The sequence below is a fragment of the Homo sapiens genome, chromosome 18 (genome assembly GCF_000001405.40).
Source record: "Homo sapiens chromosome 18, GRCh38.p14 Primary Assembly".
Taxonomy (NCBI): Eukaryota; Metazoa; Chordata; class Mammalia; order Primates; family Hominidae; genus Homo; species Homo sapiens.
The window spans coordinates 71,538,445-71,558,268 of NC_000018.10; the positions used below are offsets into that span (position 1 = coordinate 71,538,445).

At 36.7% G+C, this 19,824-nt stretch overlaps 2 long non-coding RNA genes across 3 annotated transcripts in view; one reads left to right on the plus strand and one right to left on the minus strand.

The window, feature by feature from the left end:
* The window catches only part of LOC107985179 (uncharacterized), a 191,915-nt gene that overhangs the window by 106,360 nt on the left and 65,731 nt on the right, over positions 1–19,824 (plus strand). Inside the window, exon 2 of the long non-coding RNA XR_001753502.1 lies at positions 9,527–9,611. This is a non-coding gene — a long non-coding RNA (uncharacterized LOC107985179). The remainder of the gene's footprint in view (positions 1–9,526; positions 9,612–19,824) is intronic.
* LINC01541 (long intergenic non-protein coding RNA 1541) overlaps positions 1–19,824 on the minus strand; it is a 58,993-nt gene that overhangs the window by 18,481 nt on the left and 20,688 nt on the right. For both annotated transcript variants that reach the window (NR_038326.1, NR_038325.1), the window contains exon 2: positions 10,155–10,252. This is a non-coding gene — a long non-coding RNA (long intergenic non-protein coding RNA 1541). The remainder of the gene's footprint in view (positions 1–10,154; positions 10,253–19,824) is intronic.

The window sequence follows — 19,824 nt, forward strand, 5'->3', positions numbered from 1 at the left end:
GTCTGGATGGAAAAACATTCCAGACAGAATAAAAGCTAGTGCAAAGTGAAGTAGGAAAGAAAATATTTACCATATTCTAGGCATATCAAGCAGGCTGGTATAGCTAGAGTGGAGGAGGCAGATGGGAGATAAAATCAAATGGTTACAAAGGTGGGGAAAGAACATCAAGAACGGTTTAAGCCATTGTAAATATCTTTAACTCAGAGAGGCATGAGAATCCTTTGGAATATTTTTAGTAGAAAAATGACAGGATCTTATATTTAGAAAAATCTCTGATTCTTCTGTTGAATATAGAATATAGAATTCTTCTGTTGAATATGGAAGAAAGGCAAAGTTAGAAGCATAAAGACCCATTAAGAAGCTATTGCAACAGGCCAACTAATGCATATTAGTGATGTGAACCAAGGTTATCATGGTATAAGTTTTGAGCAGTTCTGGTGTTCTCAATACCATGTGGCAATTGAGACACCAGGATTTTTTTGCTGGATCTATTACTGGGTGAAATAAAAAGAGAGTATTGGAGTAATTCCAAAACATTTTCCCAGAGTACATGGAAGAACAAATTTGCCGTATATGCAATAAGTAAGATTAATAGCAGAAGAGTGGAAATAATTAATCAAATTTGTATTTTCAGTATGTTAAATTTGAAACATGTATTAAAAATACAAGGACAGAAATCCTGTAGACATCTAGAATTTAGAGGAATGTCAGAGTTAGTGATATAAATTTGAAAAGCATCATACATATCCTGCAGACATCTAGAATTTAGAGGAAAGTCAGAGTTGGGGATATAAATTTGAAAATCATTATACAAAGCAAAGAATATGCCCTGGAAATTATTTTTAAAAACTGTGTTTCACACTGGAATATTCAACTGAGTCAAATATGGCAGATACATAAAATGAGGATGAAATATTAACCAAGGGATTCATATACTGAGGGTTACCGGTGTTGATAGCAGGACATCGCTGCGGCCCTGCCTTTATATCCAGAGATGCATTTAACTTGCTTGTGTGTGCATCCCCACCTTTGTCCATTCTGCTACTGCCCTCTCACACCTGCAATCTTCTGAAGAGTGTTAGCCCCTACCGTGGAGTGATGGGTTTCTTTCCCTTTAAATTAGACAGATGTGTCATCCATTCTGACTCATATCATGGTGCATTGACCAAGGGTGTAAAAGCTCTGGGGAATCATCCAAAATGATAACCAAAAATACTAATCTCTTTAATGCCTCCACTAAATCATAGACAGAATGAGATAGACCTTCAAAGTTCTAATGAAGTTCTAATGTATTTAAAGCTGTGATGTATCTAAAGCTCATGATAAGATATAAACTTTTTACCAACCAATAAAGATAAATTAGCAATATTTCTATTTTCTCAGTAAGTTCTGTGTACATTAAGTTAAATGAGTGCTTCTAAGTAAAAGAATAAAGGTAAAGTTAATGATAATTTTATAGTTCTTTATAAAACCTTTTGCATATACTTCTCAGAAAGTGAAAAAAGATACATTAATAAAAACTAAGAAATTATATTGCAAATAAGATGATTTAAAATACTTTGCTTTCAATAACATTGAAGAACCAACTAACAGATCCATTAGCAATAAGATATCACTAGACAATTTTTGGCATATACTAGAAATAATTTTTATAATAAAGTTATATTGCTTTAGAATAGTCCTTCAATTTTTATATGATTATTTTTTAAATAAGTTTTCTAAACTCTCAAAACAATATAAAATATTAGAAATAGAATTGATGCTAAGAGCTGTCTCATTTACTTAGTAATGAAGAAAATGAGAAAAAATCCATCTGTGTTTTTGAGATGTTTCAAAAAATTTTGTTTATGTTTTATAATTATTTATCAAAATATGTATTATGTATTTGTAGAAGATACTAACTGGAAATACAAATTCAAAGACAAGAGAAAGTGAGTGATGTAACAATCTAATAGTAAAAGATGTTATACAGATTGGGCATCCTTCATCCAAAAATCTGAAATTCTAAATGTTCCAAAATCTGAACCCTTTTGAGCACTGACATGATGCCGTAAGTTGAAAATTTTACAACTGACTTCTTGTGATAGTCTCCATCAAAAGAAAGGTGCACTACAATTTATTCAGCATCCTCACGGGCAAAAAACAAAAACAAAAGAGCCTCCCAAACTTTTTCAGCTGTAATATGTCTTTTCTGTGCATATCCAGATTCCCCTACACAAACACTTCCACAAAGGGTAGTAAAATGGCACGTGTGCAGGCTGGATGGCCAAGGACAGGATCCCTGCAATGCCCCACATGCGACCAAGACCTACCTGCATTACTCAGCATTTTTTTTTTTTTGTACCTTCTCCGTTCTGCAGTTCGAAGATATTTTGGAAAATGTCAAAAAGGCCTGTAGATATCCCTTGGGTAACAGTGATAAGAAAAAAGGAAGCATTTATGTTTTTTTTATAGTACAGAAAGTCAAGATGCTGAAGAAACTGGGAAGCAGTGTAAGTGTGAAATATTTTACCGAAGAATGTGCTGTTAGAAATACCATTATACATGGCCTGAAGAAACAAAATAAACTGTTGAAGTTCTGTGCTGAAACGGATGAATGGAAGTTAATGAAAAATACAAAAACACTGCATAAATCTGGAAATGAAGATCTCGCTCATGTATTGAAAGAATTGATCCATCAGCATCACAGTGACCCTGGCCACTTAATTGCATGCTGCTCATGAGACAGGCAAGGATCTATCACCATCATGATGAACTGAAAATTGAGGAAAACTGGGAATATTTCTGCTGGTTGCAGAAATTTAAGAAAAGACATTGACATTGACATTACATTTTCAAATATTTGTGGAGATAAAGCACCTGCAGATTATGGGGCAGCAGAGAAATTCATTGATGACCTTGCCAAGGTCATCGATGATGGAATATGATGCAAGGACAAATCTATTATGCTGGCAAAATGTCACCGTTTGGGTATTATTATCTCAGAAAGACACTGACTACAGCTGAGGAAACAGCCCCTATAGGAATTAAGGATGCCAAGGAGAGAAATTTGTGTTGGCAATTGCTAATGCAGCAGGCATGCAGAAGTATAAACTTGCTGTGATAGGCAAAAGCTTATGTCCTCACTGTTTGCAAGGAGGGAATTTCCTACTAGGCCACTGTTGTGTTCTCAAAAAATGCATGGATTACTGGGGACAACATTTGGTCTAATTTCACAAACATTTTCTACCAGCAGCTCATGCTTACTGCAGGAAAATTGGACTGAATGATGACTGTGAGATTTTGTTATTCCTTGATAACTTTTCTGCTCATCCTCCAGCTGAAATTCTCATAAAAATACTGTTTATGCTATGTGCTTTCTCCTAAATGTGACTTTATCAATTAATCACGTGACCGGTGCATCCTTAGATCAATGAAGTGTAAATATGAAAATACTTCCTTGAATAGCATGTTAGTAGCATTGAGCAGAGGCATAGGCGTGGAAGGTTTTCAAAGGCAGTTTAGCATGCAGGATGCCTTACATGCTGTTGCCAATGCTGGGAACAGAGTGAGTAAAGACACAGGTGTGCATACCTGATTCAACTACTGGACTGTGATTATGTTAAGTGATGATGATGATGAACAAGGTGGTGTCATTGAGAATAAAAAATGGTCTTACCACCTTACTTATGCAAAAATTATACCTTCATAGTATGTCAGCAATCTGAAAGATGTGGATATTGAAGAAGCTTTTAACATCAATAATGAGGTTCTGGTTGTTCATTTATTGACTGATAGTGAAATAGCCTAAATTTTTCTGAACGAAGGTTGATTCTTATTATAGGTACAGTAAAGATGACGTTGTTAACACTTCAGAAAATGTTCCAATGGATTACATGGTGAAAGTGTGTGATGGGCTAATTGAAGGACTAGTGAAGTGTATATTTATAATCAAACAAGAAATCATGTCCATTAATAAAATCAAAGAGAGATTTCTGAGGAAAAATATATTGTCAATCAGGCAGATGACTCTGAAGGAAATATTCTAAGAAGCCATCCAGCAGAATGCCTCCTCATCCCTACAGGACCCACTTTCTGGTCCCTCAACTGCTGATGATGTTTACACACACACACACACACACACAGACACACACACACACACACACACACACTGTACGGTAAGCCTTTAATCAAAACATAACATCATAGGTGGAGACTGAAAGTTTATCATTGTTCATTGCTGCTGTTGTCTAGCAGCTGATCCAGGTGTTGCGCTGTGTTGCTGAGTTACCCTTAACATATAGTTTTCTCACTGTAGGTCACACTTTTTACCATTAAGTGCTTATGTGTAAACAAATAGAAGAGAATTGCTTATTAGTGATATATGAATTCAGTGTCAACAATGGTGGAAATGCTAGATGGCCACAGATTGTCCACATGGGGGGCTTGCCTTTGCTTTCTGATAATTTAATATGCACATATTTTGTTTCATGCACAAGATTATTTAAAATATTGTATAAAATTACCTTCAGTCTATGTTTGTAAGGTATATATGAAACAAACAAATTTCATGTTTAGACATTGGTCCCATCTCCAAGATATCTTATTACCTGTATGCGAATACTTCAACATTAAAAAAAATCTGAAATACAAAACATTTCTATTCCAAAGCATTTTGGATAAAGGATACTCAACCTGTATAGTTGTGTGTGTGTGTGTATGTGTGTGTGTGTGTGTGTGTGTGTGTCTCTAACGGATGGTGGTGGTGACCAAATTGTTTAAATGAAAAGTTTTGGTTTCTAATAAAAATATTTGAGGCTTTACGTAGCATTGAAAACATTGAGTAAAAGGAGAATAAACTAACTTGAAGTCAACCCCTCTAGATTGTCATCTGAGTTGGCCAGGTTCAACACTTTCTGATTCAATACTACTTGACATTTTTCTTTACATAATGACTATTTAAAACATTGACAAAATGAAATGACTTAAAGACATTATTATGAGCATGTACCAAATTATAGATTTAAAAATCTTTCAAGCCCCTATTGAAAGCTGTCTCTAAAAAACAAACGCATGAGACATTACCCATTTGGGTACCATGAGTTTTAGTTATTTGGCTGAATTGGGTTTTGAATTCTCATAATAGACGTTTATATTTTCCCACTAAGATTAGCAGAAGCAGAAAAATTAAACTGCCTCTACACAATGCAAATAAACTGTTTGAATGATTGATAGTTGTATTGAACTTATAATGTATACTAACAAATAAACTAAATTATTATGACAATCAATCATTTTAATAATCTTCACAATCTCCCATAAAAAAGCTTGATAGTATCGTTTTCGGGTGGATTTGAAATTTCTAGTTAAATTTTTCAGCAATGAATTTTGAGGAAATTCATTAGTCTGTGTTCTCAATAAAAATTGTACTGTATGTTATCTGTTCGAGTCTATGTAAGTTAGAAGAATTCTATAACACAATATGAGTATTTAATCAGGGCCTGAAAAATCAGAAACTTATTTTTCACATTCTTGAAATTCTAATTAGTACTTGTCATTTTATTAAAAATGCTGTAAAATATCTACACTTGGGAAAATTATAATATAATTTATTATTTAAGTTTTCAGTAAGAATTTAGTGGAGAATATTTATTACTTAGTTGGTATTAAACTCTTATCTTACATCTCAGATTTCAGGGCATATTAGCAATGCCACAGCCACAGTAATTGCTGTTAAATGAAATCGATGATATTTAAATATTTTAGTTTAGCAATGGTCACTATTAGCATTGGCAATGAAACTCAAATGTATAATTTATCATCTTCTGTTATAGGCACTGACCTGTATTCATGTCTTACCGTGTCAAATGGAAAAATAATGATAACGTTTCTTAAAGCTGAGCAACAATAACATTTTGTTAGGTAGCTGATGGCCAAGACATCCAAGTCCAAAATCTCAAGTTTTATTAAAAAGCTATGAATAAGATATGCTTTAGAAAATATCTTTTCTTATGCCCCATCTGGTTTTATTTTAAATCTGGTGTATCAGGAAAAAGTTGGATGAATGTTAAATGAAGAAATTATGCCTCTGCTTTCAACAATTCTGGATTTGAATGTTTAACATCAGTTTTTAGTTTTATTAACTGTTAAATTAATATCTATATAATATATAGATATACACACACATACACATAAGTACATACATGCATACCTCAGAGATATTGTGTATTTAGTTCCAGAAATCCACAGTGAAGTATTACAAAAAAGTGAAACTCAATTTTTTAAAATTTCTCATTGCATCTAAAAGTTATATTTGCACTATACTGTACATTATTATATATAAAATGTGCAAGAGAATTATGTTTAAAACCAAAGTTCATACCTTAATTTAAAAATACTTTATTGCTACAAAATGCTAACGATCATTTGAGCCCCCAGCAAGTCATAATCTTTCTGCTGGTGGAAGGTCTCTATTGATGGTTGCTGACTAATCAGGGTCAGATTGATGAAGTTTGGGGTAGGTGTGGCAAATTCTTAAAATAAGACAATGAAGTTTGCCCCTCAGATTGATTCTTTCTTTCAGGAAAGATTTCTATGCTCTTTGATAGCATTTTACCCACCATAGAACTTTTTTCAAAACTGAAGTCAATCCTCTCAAACTTGACTGCTGCTTTATCAACCAAGTTTATGTAATATTTTAAATCCCTTTTTGTCATTTGAACAATGTTCACAGCTTCTTCACCAGGAGTAGAGTCCGCTTCTAGAATCTTCTTTTTTTTTCCTCATCCATAGAAATAACTCATCATTCATCCAAATTTAATTATCAGATTTCAGAAATTTAATCACACTCCTAATTCTAGTTCTTTTGCTATTTCCACCACATCTTCAGTTACTTCCTCCACTGAAGTCTTGAGTCCCTCAAAGTCATCCATGAGAATTGGAATCAATTTCTTCCAAATGCCTATTAAAGTTGACATTTTGACCATCTACCATAAGTCATGAATGTCCTTGATGGCATCAACAGTGGTGAATCCTTTCCAGAAGGCTACTAATTAACCTTGCCCAGATCCATCAGAGGAATCACTAACTATGGTAACTATAGACTTATGAAATGTATTTTTTAAAATAAAAAGACTTAGAAGTCAAAAGTATGCCCCTGATACATTTGTTGCAGAATGGATGTTATATTACCAGGCATGAAAACATTAATCCTCAATGCCCATTTCCATCAGAACTCTTGGGTGACCAGGTGCATTGTAAATGAGCAATAATGTTTTGAAACAAATCTGTTGGGCTTTTTTTATTCTGAACAGTAGGTCTGTACAGTTAGCTTAAAATATTCAGTCTACCATGCTGTAAACTTATGTGCTGTCATCCAGGCTGTGTTCTTCTATTTATAGAGCACAGGATGAGTAGATTTAACATAATTCTTAAGGACCCTAAATTTTTAGAATGGTAAATAAACGTTGGATTCAACATAAAGTCACCAGTTGCATTATCCCCTAACAAGAGAGTCAGGATGTCTTTTGACTTCTCCTCTCTAGCTATGGAAGTCATCTTCAATAGATGGCATCTTCTTCCAATACATGGCTATTTTGTCTACATTGAAAATCTGTTGCTTAGTGTAGACACCTTCATCAGTGCTTTTAGCTAGATCTTCTGGATAACTTGCTGTAGCTTTCACATCAGCACTTGCTGCTTCACCTTGAACTTCTATGTGTGGTGATGGCTTCTATCCTTAAACCTCATGAAGCAACCGCTGCTAGCTTCACACTTTTCTGCAGCTTCCTCACTTCTCTCAGCTTTCACAGAATTGTAGAGGGTTAGGACCTTGCTTTGAATTAGGCATTGGCTTAATGGAATGTTGTGGCTAGTTTGATCTTCTATTCATACCACTAAAACTTTCTCTGTATCACCAATATGGTTGTTTTGCTTTCCTATCCTTGTGTGTTCACTGGAGTAGTATTAGTAATATTATTCAAGAATTTTTCCTTTACATTCACAATTTGGCTATTTGGCCCAAGGGGCCTAGTTTTCAGCCTATCTCAGCTTCTAACATTCCTTACTCACTAAGCCTAATCATTTCTGGCTTTAAGAAATATGTATAAAATAGCAAAGACATAGAATTAACCCAAATGCCCATCAATGATAGACTGGATAAAGAAAATTTGGTACATATACACCATGGAATACTATGCAGCCATAAAAAGGAATGAGATCATGTCCTTCGCAGGGACATGGATGGAACTGGAAGCCATCCTCAGCAAACTGACACAGGAACAGAAAACCAAACACCACATGTTCTCACTCATAAGTGGGAGCTGAACAATGAGAACACGTGGACACAGGGAGAGGAGCAACACATACTGAGGCCTGTCGTTGGGGGTGGAGTAGGGAGAAAAAGAGTATCAGGAAAAATAGGTAATGCATGCTGGACTTAATACTTAGGTGATGGGTTGATAGCTTCAGCAAACTACCATGGCACACGTTTAGCTATGTAACAAACCTGCACGTCCTGCACATGTATCCCAGAAATAAACTAAGCTGAACTAAAATAATAAATGTATATAAATTTATGATGTTCAAGCATAATTTTGTTAGATGCGTAGATTGAGTAGTAGTGAAATCAGGGTTTTTAGGGTATTACCCAAATATCATATATTGTACCCATTAATTAATCCCTCATCATCCATTTCTAGATTTTGATTTACAATGAGATGTTCTCCTCATCTTTTCACTTGACTACTTAGGAGGCCATTGCAAATTATTAATTGGCCTAAATTCAACATTGTTGTTTCTTAGGGAATAGCAATACCTGAGGAGAGGGAGAGATGGGAGAGCAGCCATTCCATGCAGTAGTTAGAACATACATATCTATTAATAGATTTTGCCATCTTACATGGGCGTGGTTTGTGGCAGCTCAAAATAAATGCAATAGTAACATCAAAGATCACTGATCACTGATCATCATAACAAGTATATCAATAATGAAAATGTTTGAAATATGGCGAAACACAGACACACAAACTGAGCACATGCCGTTGGAAAAATGGTGCTGATAGACTTGCTTGCTGTAGGTCTACTGGCAGCCTTCAATTTGTGAAAAACATCATATCCGTAAAGTGCATTAAAGTGAAGCACAATGACAGGATCTGTGCTTGGACACACATTTTATTATATGTTCATCAACACTCCTGATGCTGCTTTAGTATCAATATTTTATTTATGGAAATAGCAGATTGTTTTCTTCTGCTAATAGTTGAACCTGACCTGAGGAATTAAATATGAGGCTAAGAGATCAATCTGACTAATAAATAATTTGTGATTTTTTTTAGAAATTGTGATATTAATATATTTAGGTGAAAAAATGTATGCAGCATTCCAATAGTTCTGTATCCTCTGGTGTTTTTTACTTACTATTTCAGATTTTTTTTTCTTATGGTTTTTTTCTAAGTCAGCTTCTGCTTGCAGTTCTTGTTGATGTGTGGGTAACACAATAAAAGAAAGCAGAGTTTTAAATAATATTTTTTGCATCTCTCATTTGTAGTATTGGTATTGCTGGACCCTTCCGTACACATTGGAATCCTGAGATACTGCAAAAGCATTCAACAACCCATGTGCTGCCAGAAAATGTAAGTCCCTTTTACATTCTTGAAAGTATGGTATTGTAAATAGTTTTACATGAGATATTTTAAGAGGCTTTAATAGTTATGTGGTGCAGATAGGCATTGCTATAAAATTGTAATTTGCATGAATCTAATTGAATCAGAGAACTTTGACTATTAAAACATACATTTTTATCATGAACATACTATGTGTCAAAACCTAGGAATACAAGTGTTAAAGAGGAAAAACTGTTGTTATATAGGCATATGGCCTAGCTAGAAAGGATATTTGTAATAAACCAGTTAAATATGGCAGGCAATTTTAGAATGCTAAGTATTAAGGCAAAAATCACATGGGGTAATGGAATTGAGCTACTATGGTCTGAAAGTTTTGTGTCCTTCTCCAAATTTATAGTGGGGGTTGAAACCCTAACCCCCTAGGTAGTGCCAGGTATTAGGAGGTGGGTGGTGCCTTTGGGAGGTGATTAGATCATGAGAGGGGAGCCCGCATGACTGGAATTAGTGCTATTATTAAAAAGGGGACTCTGAAGAGTTCCTCTGACCTCATACCTTGTGAAGACATAAAGAGAAGGCGCCATCTGCAAATCAGGAACAGCCCTCCCTGGACTCTGAATCTGCTGGCTCCTTGGTCTTGGACTTACCCACATCTAGAAACATGAAATAAACTTCTGTTTATAAGCCATACAATTTAAGGTACTTTCTAATAGACACCCAAACTAAGACAGTGACTTGTGTCGGCATAGGAGTATGGTATCTATCTATCTATCTATCTATCTATCTATCTATCTATCTATCTATCTATCTACCTACCTACCTACCTACCTGCCTGCCTATGGAAATAAGTCTGTTAATATTCCTACCCTAGAGGCTTTCAATATTTTTCAGGCTTGAGTACTTTCCTAAGGGACCATAGTTAAGACCTCATAACATAATGTGTATTGTGATGTTCTTGAAAAAAAAAAAAATCTGTGAGTGGTTTCTCAAAGTTGTAATTGAAGAGAGCTTAAGAAATTGATTATTTATGAATTTAGGATAGGGTGAAGGGGAACAATAAGGGCAAGCTAAGGACTTAAGAGAGCTCTGAACATGCTTTGTTCTGAAAGGAAAATAGCAGACAGCTAATGGCACTCAAGGCAAGCCATGCTAGAGGGCATGGACCATCTGCTGGCTTTCAGTAGAATGACATAGTCATTGCCAAAATGGACCCTTAACAGAGAGTAGCAGTGGTCTTAAATGTCCACACTTGTCACTCTTCCTGATCTCTAATATTATGCAATTTCCTCCCATTGACTGAAAAGCCATATATTAGCAAATATTACCCAGATATATATATAATAACATTGTTATTCAGTTTTTTTAAAGAATGCCTTTGTTTAGCTCACCCATCATCACCAACACTCTGAATGAACATAAAAAAATTTCCATAGACCATTATTATAAAGAATTTTACAAGGACAGTGATGATTATAATATACTAAAATATTATGAGATTGCAATTACTCATTTAAATCCCCAGGAAATGCCAAATAGCCAACTTCCTTAAGATTCAGAATAAGTGACTGAGTCTTTTCTGTGAATGTTCATTTCCTGCTTTTTGAGAGATTAAATGTTCTTCCCAGCATCCCTGAATTCATGAAACTTGCAAAGTTTGAAAACTACGTATATAAGGACTTCAAAGGCTTAAAAAAGCTGGCAAAGAAACATTTCAAACCAGCAGTTTTTCAATATTTTACAGATTATTTTGTGTGAAATAAATGATATTAAAGTAGGAGAATGTGATTCTATAGATAGAGATATATGATCCCCGAGGCATCCCTGCACATTCCAAATACTCAACCAATTTTGCGTTTGGAAAATGGTGCAAGCGTTTTTTCTCAGGTTTAATCTGTTTCACATTGGTGAGCTGAAGAAAGGAACAAAAGGTCCACTTGACAGGTCTATTCTGCACATTCGTCATATGTCCTCATAAACCTGTGTCATTTTAAAGGCGATGCATTTGTGTTTGTTTTTGGCAAAAGAATTTAAAATGCTCTGTGACAGACACTGAATATAAGAATGTCAAACACCACACATCTAAAAAATGTACATTGTAAAAATAAGTAGACACAAAAATTAAAACATATAAAATGCAATGATTTTCTGTCATTTTAAAAAAAATGTTGTGTTTATTCTTTCTCGTTTTCTAAGATCTTAAATTACAAGCTTCTTAAACAGTAAGTTATCTAATATGCTAAACTCTATGCACCTTATTTGAGCATTAATTTTAACATTTAAAGTAACAACAAATAAAGTCACCATTTAAATAATGCCTCATGTAAGTCTATACAAACCTGAGATATTCCTGAGAACCAGCAAACAAGTGTGTGTTTATAAACAATTAACATCTTTCAGTGCCAGATTATTATTTTTTTCTGAGTAATAAAAAGCTTATATTTGAAAATTGAGACAATAAAGATGAAATGATTTATGTATATTAATTTATTCATTTCAGTTAAGACATTCAATTAAGTACATACTTTACCAAAATGTTAAGTTCTTTTTCACCATATTAATTTATCAAAAAAAATTAAAATATCCATTTCCTCCAAAGACTATTCCAATTCCATTGGAAAATATCTGTGCTACAACAACCCTATTCATAGAAAAATATTATTCCTTTATGATTGAGGTTAATGTACAAATGGAGTCATTTATAGACTATGGATCACTTCACAAAGTGTTGGCTGCTATATCCTTCCAACCACATGGCTGTGAAGTTTTGGTTTTTACAACGTTTATTTCCAAAGCTTTGTGAATAATTGGGTATAACTTAACAAGCATAAATTCATATAACAAAAATTCATGATTATTTCATTAGGCTGGAATAATATAAAATATAGTTTCAATATCTTACCTGTATTGTTATGATGAATATAGATTACTTATACATATTGAAATATAGATATAGATAAATACAGATATAGAAGTGTACACATATAAATATAGACATACAGGTACACATGTATACCTGTATGTATTACAAATAGAACGTATACAATAGTCCCCCTATCTGTGGAGGATACCTTCCAAACCCTTGATGTCTGAAACAGCAGATTGTACTTGAAACTGTCAAACTGTGGATTAGGAGGAACTACTGTATGTGTATATATATAACATATATATATAGGTATATACACACACACACATATATACACACAAAACAAGTAGTGTATATTACATGTGTGGGTGTGCATGTGCATATGTGTACATGGGCAAAGGAGGATAGATTGCAGGCACGTGAAGATGCTAACTCGTAGGTATAGAAAGGAGAACACGATTAAGATACCATTACATTGGAAACATTGAGGAGCTTATATAAAGACCTCTCAGATAAACATATATTTTTGCAAATGCCATATAAAATATGTATACACTTATTTGCCCATATTTATGCAGTGTCTACTATTCATGAGGCAAGATAAAAAGATACACATGAGATCTTAATTTTGTGTCCTCCAAAAACTGACACTGAGCTTTTTTTTTTTTTTTTTTTTTGAGATGGAGTCTTGCTCTGTCGCCAATCTGGGGTGCAGTGGCGTGATCTTAGCTCACGGCAAGCTCCGCCTCCCGGGTTCACGCCATTCTCCTGCCCCAGCCTCCCGAGTAGCTGGGACTACAGGCACCTGCCACCATGCCCGGCTAATTTTTTGGTATTTTTTAGTAGAGACGGGGTTTCACCGTGTTAGCCAGGATGGTCTCGATCTCCTGACCTCGTGATCCGCCTGCCTCAGCCTCCCTAAGTGCTGGGATTACAGGCTTGAGCCACCGCACCCGGCCGACACTGAGCTTTTGATTAGGCTGTCTGGGAGAGTGATATAGTTTAGATATTTGTCCCCACCCAAATTTCATGTTGAGTTTTAATCCCCAGTGTTGGAGATGGGGCCTGGTTGGAGGTGTTTTGGTCATGAGGTTGAGTCCCCCATGGCTTGGTGCTGTCCTTGCAATAGTAAAAAAGTTCATGTGAGATCTGGTTGTTTAAGTTTGTGGCATCTCCCTCTTAACTCTCTCTTTCCCCTGTTCCTACAATGTGACATGCCTGCCCCCGCTTCACCTTCCACCATGAGTATAAGCTCCATGAGTCCCTCCCGGAAGCTGAGTAGATGCCGGTGTCATGCTTATTCAGTTTGCAGAACTGTAAGCCAACTAAGCCTTTTTTCTAAATAAAAATTACTCAGTCTCCGATATTTCTTTATAGAAGTGAAAGAATACAGGAAATTGGTACCAAGGAGTGGAGCATTGCTGTAAAGATACCTGACAATGTGGAAGCAGCTTTGGAACTGGGTCATAGGCAGAGGTTGGTAGAGGTTGAGGAACTCAGAAGGAAACAGAAAGATGATGGAATGTTTGCAACTTCTTAGAGACTCGTTAAATGGTGGTGACCTAAATGTTGATAGTGGTAATAACAATAAAATCCAGGCTGATGAATTCTCAGATGGAAATGAGGAACTTATTGGGGACTGGAGCAAAGTCACATGTGTTGTGCCTTAGCAAAGAGCTTGGCTGCATTGTGTCCATGCCCCAGAGATATGTAGAAGTTTGAACTTCAGAATAAATGACTTAACGTATTTGGCAGAAAATATTTATAAGCAGCAAAGCATTCAAGATATGCCCTGGCTGTTTCTAACATCCTAAACTCAGGTGCAGGAACAAAGTAAATGACTTAAAATTTGAACTTATATTTAAAGGGGAGGCAGAGCATAGAAGTTTGAAAATCTGCAAGCTGACCATATGGCAGAGAAAGAAAAAGCATTATCAGAAGAATCCAAGCAGGCTGTGGAGCAACCACTTGGCTTGAAAGATTTACATAATGAAAAGGGACCCAAGTGCTAATAGCCAAGATCATGGGGAAAAGGCCTTCAAGGTATTTAAGAAACCTTCTAGGCATCTTCTCTCATCACAGACCCAGAAGCACAGGGGTACTGAATGGTTTCAGGGGCCCAGGGCACCACTGTCCTGTGTCACCTCACAGTAATGTTATTTTACTGTGAGGCCGCACCTCATCTCCAGGCCATTCCAGCTCCAGACTCAACTCTGAGGACCCCAAATACAGCTTGGGCTGCCACTTCAGAGGGTACAAGCCATAAGCCTTGATGGCTTTGACATGGTGGTTAGCCTGCAGATGAGGAGAGTGTATGAGTGAAGCCTGTGGGTGAGCAGTGTATAGGAGTAAAGGAAGCTTGACAGCCCCCACCTAGATATCAGTGGATGTATGGGAAAGTCTGGGTACCCAAGCAGAAGCCTGCTGCAGGGGTGGAGGCCTCACAGAAAACTTGCATTAGGGCAGCATGGGGAGCAAATGTGGGAATGTGGGATTGGAGCCCTGACACTGAATCCCCACTGGGACACTCCCTAGTGAAGTTTTGGGGACAGGGACACTGTCCTCCGGACCCCAGAATGGTAGATCCACTGGCAGCCTGCACCCTGCACCAGGAAGAGCCTAAGGCATTCAGCTCCAACCTGTGAGAGCAGCTCCAACCTGTGTAGCTGGCAAAGACACAGAGGCAAGGCTTCCCAAGGCTTTGGAAGCCAATCTCTTCAACTAGTGTGTCCTGGATGTGGGACAGGGGGTAATATAAGAATATTTTGGAGCTTTGAGGTTTAATGATGCCCCATTGGGTTTTGAACTTGCATGAGACTGATAGCCCCTTTCTTTTGCTAATTTCTCACTTTTCAAATGGGAATGTTTACCCAAGGTCTACGCTCCCATTGTATATTGGAAATTAATAACTTGGCTTTTTTTTTTCTTTTTTTGTAGGCTCATAGGTGGAAGGGACTTGCCTTGGCTCACATGAGACATTTGAGTTAATGCTGGAATGAGTTGAGACTTTGCGGGACTGTTTGAAAAGGCACGATTGTATTTTGAAATGTGACAAGGATATGAGATGTGGGGGACAAGGGTTTGGATATTTGTCCCCACACAAATCTCATGTTGAAATATAATCCCCAGTGTTGGAAGCGGGGCCTGATGGGGGGTGTTTTGGTCATGAAAACAGATCCCTGATGGCTTGGTGTTGTCCTTGCAATAGAAAGTTCATGCAAGTTCTGTTTGTTTAAGTGTGTGGCACCCCCCTACCCTCTCTCTTGCTCCTGCTCCCGCAATGTGAGATGTCTGCTCCTGCTTCATACTCCACAATAAGTACAAGCTCCCTGAGGCTTCCCCAGAAGCCAAGCGGATGTTGTGCTATACTTGTACAGCCTACCGAACCAGGAACAAATTAAACTCTTTTCTTTCTTTTTTTGGGGGGGGATGGAGGGCACGTGTGGGTTGAGGCAGAATCTCACTCTGTCGCCCAGGCCGGAGCGCAATGGCATGATCTCGGCTCACTTCAACCTTTACCTCCTGGTTCAAGTGATTCTCTTGCCTCAGCCTCCCGAGTAGCTGGGACTACAGACGCACACCACCACACTCGGCTTATTTTTGTATTTTTTTAGTAGAGACATGGTTGTGTCATGTTGGCCAGGCTGATCTTGAACTCTTGACTTCTGCTGTTCCGCCCGTCTCGGCCTCCCAAAGTGCTGCGATTACAGGTGTTACAGGTGTGAGCCACTGCACCCAGCCAACTCTTTTCTTTATAAATTACCCAGTCTGAGGTATTCCTTATGGCAATGCAAGAATGGCCTAATACAGAAGGGCAGGAAGAGTGGTAATGAGGTGGGGAAGTGACACAGGGAAGATGCATTAAATGGAGTGTTATGAAGCCAAGCACCACTGGGGATATCTGGAACTTAATGTTGTGAGGAAATTCTGAGACTCGTCTAAAACAGATGTCTCTGAATGATTTAATTCAAGGAGCAGGAAGCCTAGGGTATTTATACATCAGCTTCCTAGAGTTACCATTTGAGGACAGCTCCCAGGGTATGTTAGCTTCCTGGCATTTCTGCCTGTGGTACTCATGGGGGAAAAAAAAGCAGCTTTCATGACAGTCACAGAAACACAGAGAAAAACAGCTGAAAGTCTAGGAGACACTTTGCTACCTCCAAGGGAAATGCCGAGGCCCTGATCACTTCTGTAATCATTCACAGACACATTTATGTATATGTCAAAAGCCAAGTGTCTGTGTTCGAACATTCATTTATATGTAAATGATAAATATATTTACATCTGTATATTGACAAAGCATGACAACAAATATCTCATGTAAGTGATTTTTTGGGGCAATAGAACAAATTTGTTTCTGATAAAATATGGTATAGAATGTTATGCATTATTAAAATGTTAACATAAAAAAGTACTGGGATTGACTTTGAAAAAAATGACAGCTAAAGTGAACACAGTTTCCTTTTGTCTCAAAGGAAATGATGCTCTGTGGAATTTCAATACACAACTATTCAATTTTAGAAATTTTATCACAAAAGGCAAAATCTTTTTGGAGAATATGTGCACATTTCATCTGTGACTTCTGAATATTACTAATGAGCAACAAATGGTGTTTTTAAAGTTGTTCTTTGAAGGAGAAAGGAGTCAAATGTATGATTTTACAAAATTGCAATTTATTATTCTAAGTTTTATGGAAAACTAGCAGTGGTATAATTCATGAAAGAAAGGAAGAAAAAAATTCCTATATTCTCTACAAGCTGTTTTTCTATTTTTTTAAGAGAAAATAGAGAAATATTAATCTTTTCGTTATAGAGTTGTAAAAGGTATTCCTTAGGAGGAATAATTCATACAAAGAAAATGCATCGTTTACTCTCTGACTCATATACATTTTCCAAAAGTACATTTTTTCCTCAAAATAAGAATCAGTGTCTTGTCAAATCATTTGATTCCCTACCTTCTCAAGATATATACTTATATATGTTTATAAATAAATCTCTTCCAGTATGCACAATTTTAGAAATTATATTTAGAAATTCTAACATTGATAACTTTTGATAGCAATTACTCGATTGAACATTGACCAGTATTGAGAATACTGTTATATTTTAAAGCTCTATAAGGAAGTGAAAATGTGTACATATTCCCCTAAAAATAGAAATTCATATAAGTTGTGACTTTTAAAATAAAATGCAATGTATAAATTGAAACTCTTCTATTTAAATGCAGAAATCAATTTTGAATAAAAATATGAAATGAATAAATGGATATACAAGAAAATTATGTGTTTTTGTTAGGTTAATATGATCACATAGCATTGTTTTGCCTTTATTACCTAATTTCTCTGATATAACATTATAGTACTTTTATAATGTAAACATATTAAAGCGAACATTAAGGATGTGAGATATACAATGCATATCGTTAAAGTAAGTGTTGAACCTAATGACAAAATTTTATGAAACAGGGCACATCATTTCTTGATGTTGTTTCATTTTAATTTGGCTCAAAAGTTTCTGTTTCTGATGTGTAAGTACTTATTTTCCTTAAATTTTCTAAGAAATTACAAAATGATAGGCATTACTGTCAGTCCATCTGGTTTCTACTTCTAAAATGTCACCATGGGAAGAATGGGGAGAAGGAAGGAAGCACGAAGGTGGGGTGGGGTGGGGTGGCGAGGAGGGTGCTGGGGAGCAGGGACAGGCCGTATCGATAGGGAAAGAGACTGAAACACTGGAATACAAGCTGAGGAGGAAGTGGGGCATTGCAGCTGAAGAGAACAAGTTTATCATTTTCATGGGTAGCCATTCTTGGCTATGTGTTGACTATTCTGGTCTTATTTCTCCCAACTCAGCCACCTCCATTCCTTCCTGATCTGCATTCCAAAGCAGGTGAGTAAATCTAGCTCCTAGGGCTACCAAGTGATCATTCACTCATAGTTTCACATAAATGGCTCCAACTCTGAAAAGTCTTTTCATTACTCTCACCATTTTCCTTCCACCAAGTTAGTTAATAGTTACCTTTTTTTTTTTTTTTTTTTTTTGAGACTGAATCACGATCTTTGCTCACTGCAACCTCTACCTCCTGTTTCAAGCGATTATCCTGCTTCAGCCTCCCCAGGAGCCTGGACTACAGGCAGGTGCCACCACGCCTGGCTAGTTTTTGTATTTTTAGAAGAGATGGGGTTTCACCATGTTGGCCAGGCTTTTCTCACACCCCTGACCTCAGGTGATCCACCTGCCTCGGGGTTCCCAAAGTGCTGGGATTACAGGTGTGAGCCACTGCGCCCGTTACCCAGTTACCCAGTTAACTTCTAATTGCCCTAATCATCCCCCAAGTATAAGTATAAAACTCATTTTTCTCAGTGAAGCCTTTTCTTACTCTCAATAATTGCCCTTGGAGCACCTTGACATTTTTCCTCATTTGCCATATATCTCATGTCATCATCATTTCTTGTTTTAATTGTCTGCCATCCCGCATAGTAAGTATGCACTATAGGATTAAGCTCAGTAAATGTGCCTAGTATTCAACACTTAGCTTAGGCTTTGCACATCATAAATGAGCTGAGAGAGAGAGAGAGGGAGAGAGAGGGAGAGGGAGAGAGAGAGAGAGAGAGAGAGAACTAAATCCTTTAGAACAAGGGCTTGAGAAAACACAAAATGGTGTTATAGGTTGCATAATGCATTACAATTTTCAAAGGATTCTCTCATACGTATTGTTTTAGGCAAGACGCTTGGGTAAATTTTTATTTCTCGTCATGTATTTTTGCTTTAGTCACGGTGCTGACTTTATTCTCTCCTATCATTGTATCAATGAACATGTAACCAACGCTTTGAAGTGGCTCCTCTGATCCCTGTCAATGAGTTATAAAGTGGGATCTTAGTCCCACCACAGAAGGCGTGGGTATGCTTCCTGATTGGTTTTCTTAGTGTGAGCATACCTGCTCCTGGATCATCTGGCATAGCTAGAAGGCTAAGTATTATTTTTGGCCTACCTTGGCCACATACTGTCCTGTGGGATTGGTGGAATGTGATTTTATTTTTATTTAAGAGGTAGAGGAGAGGTGATGGGAAAATATAAATGATAGACACCACTTAAATTGCCTCAATTTGTTATATTGTCAGTATTGGAATATTACTTTTATTTAAGTGAGGAAGCTGAAGATCATAGTGATTAACCATAAGCTTTAAGCACGTACTATGGATCTGGGAAACTGGGAGATTATCACACACTGATGTCAAAACTGGAGGTTTTGTGTCTGAACCTCACATTTGTCTTCATATGTGCTGTGCGTCTAAACAGATATATTACCTACTGCTTAACTAGAGCCTGTTGGTAATTCATCTTATCCCCAGGACACCTCTT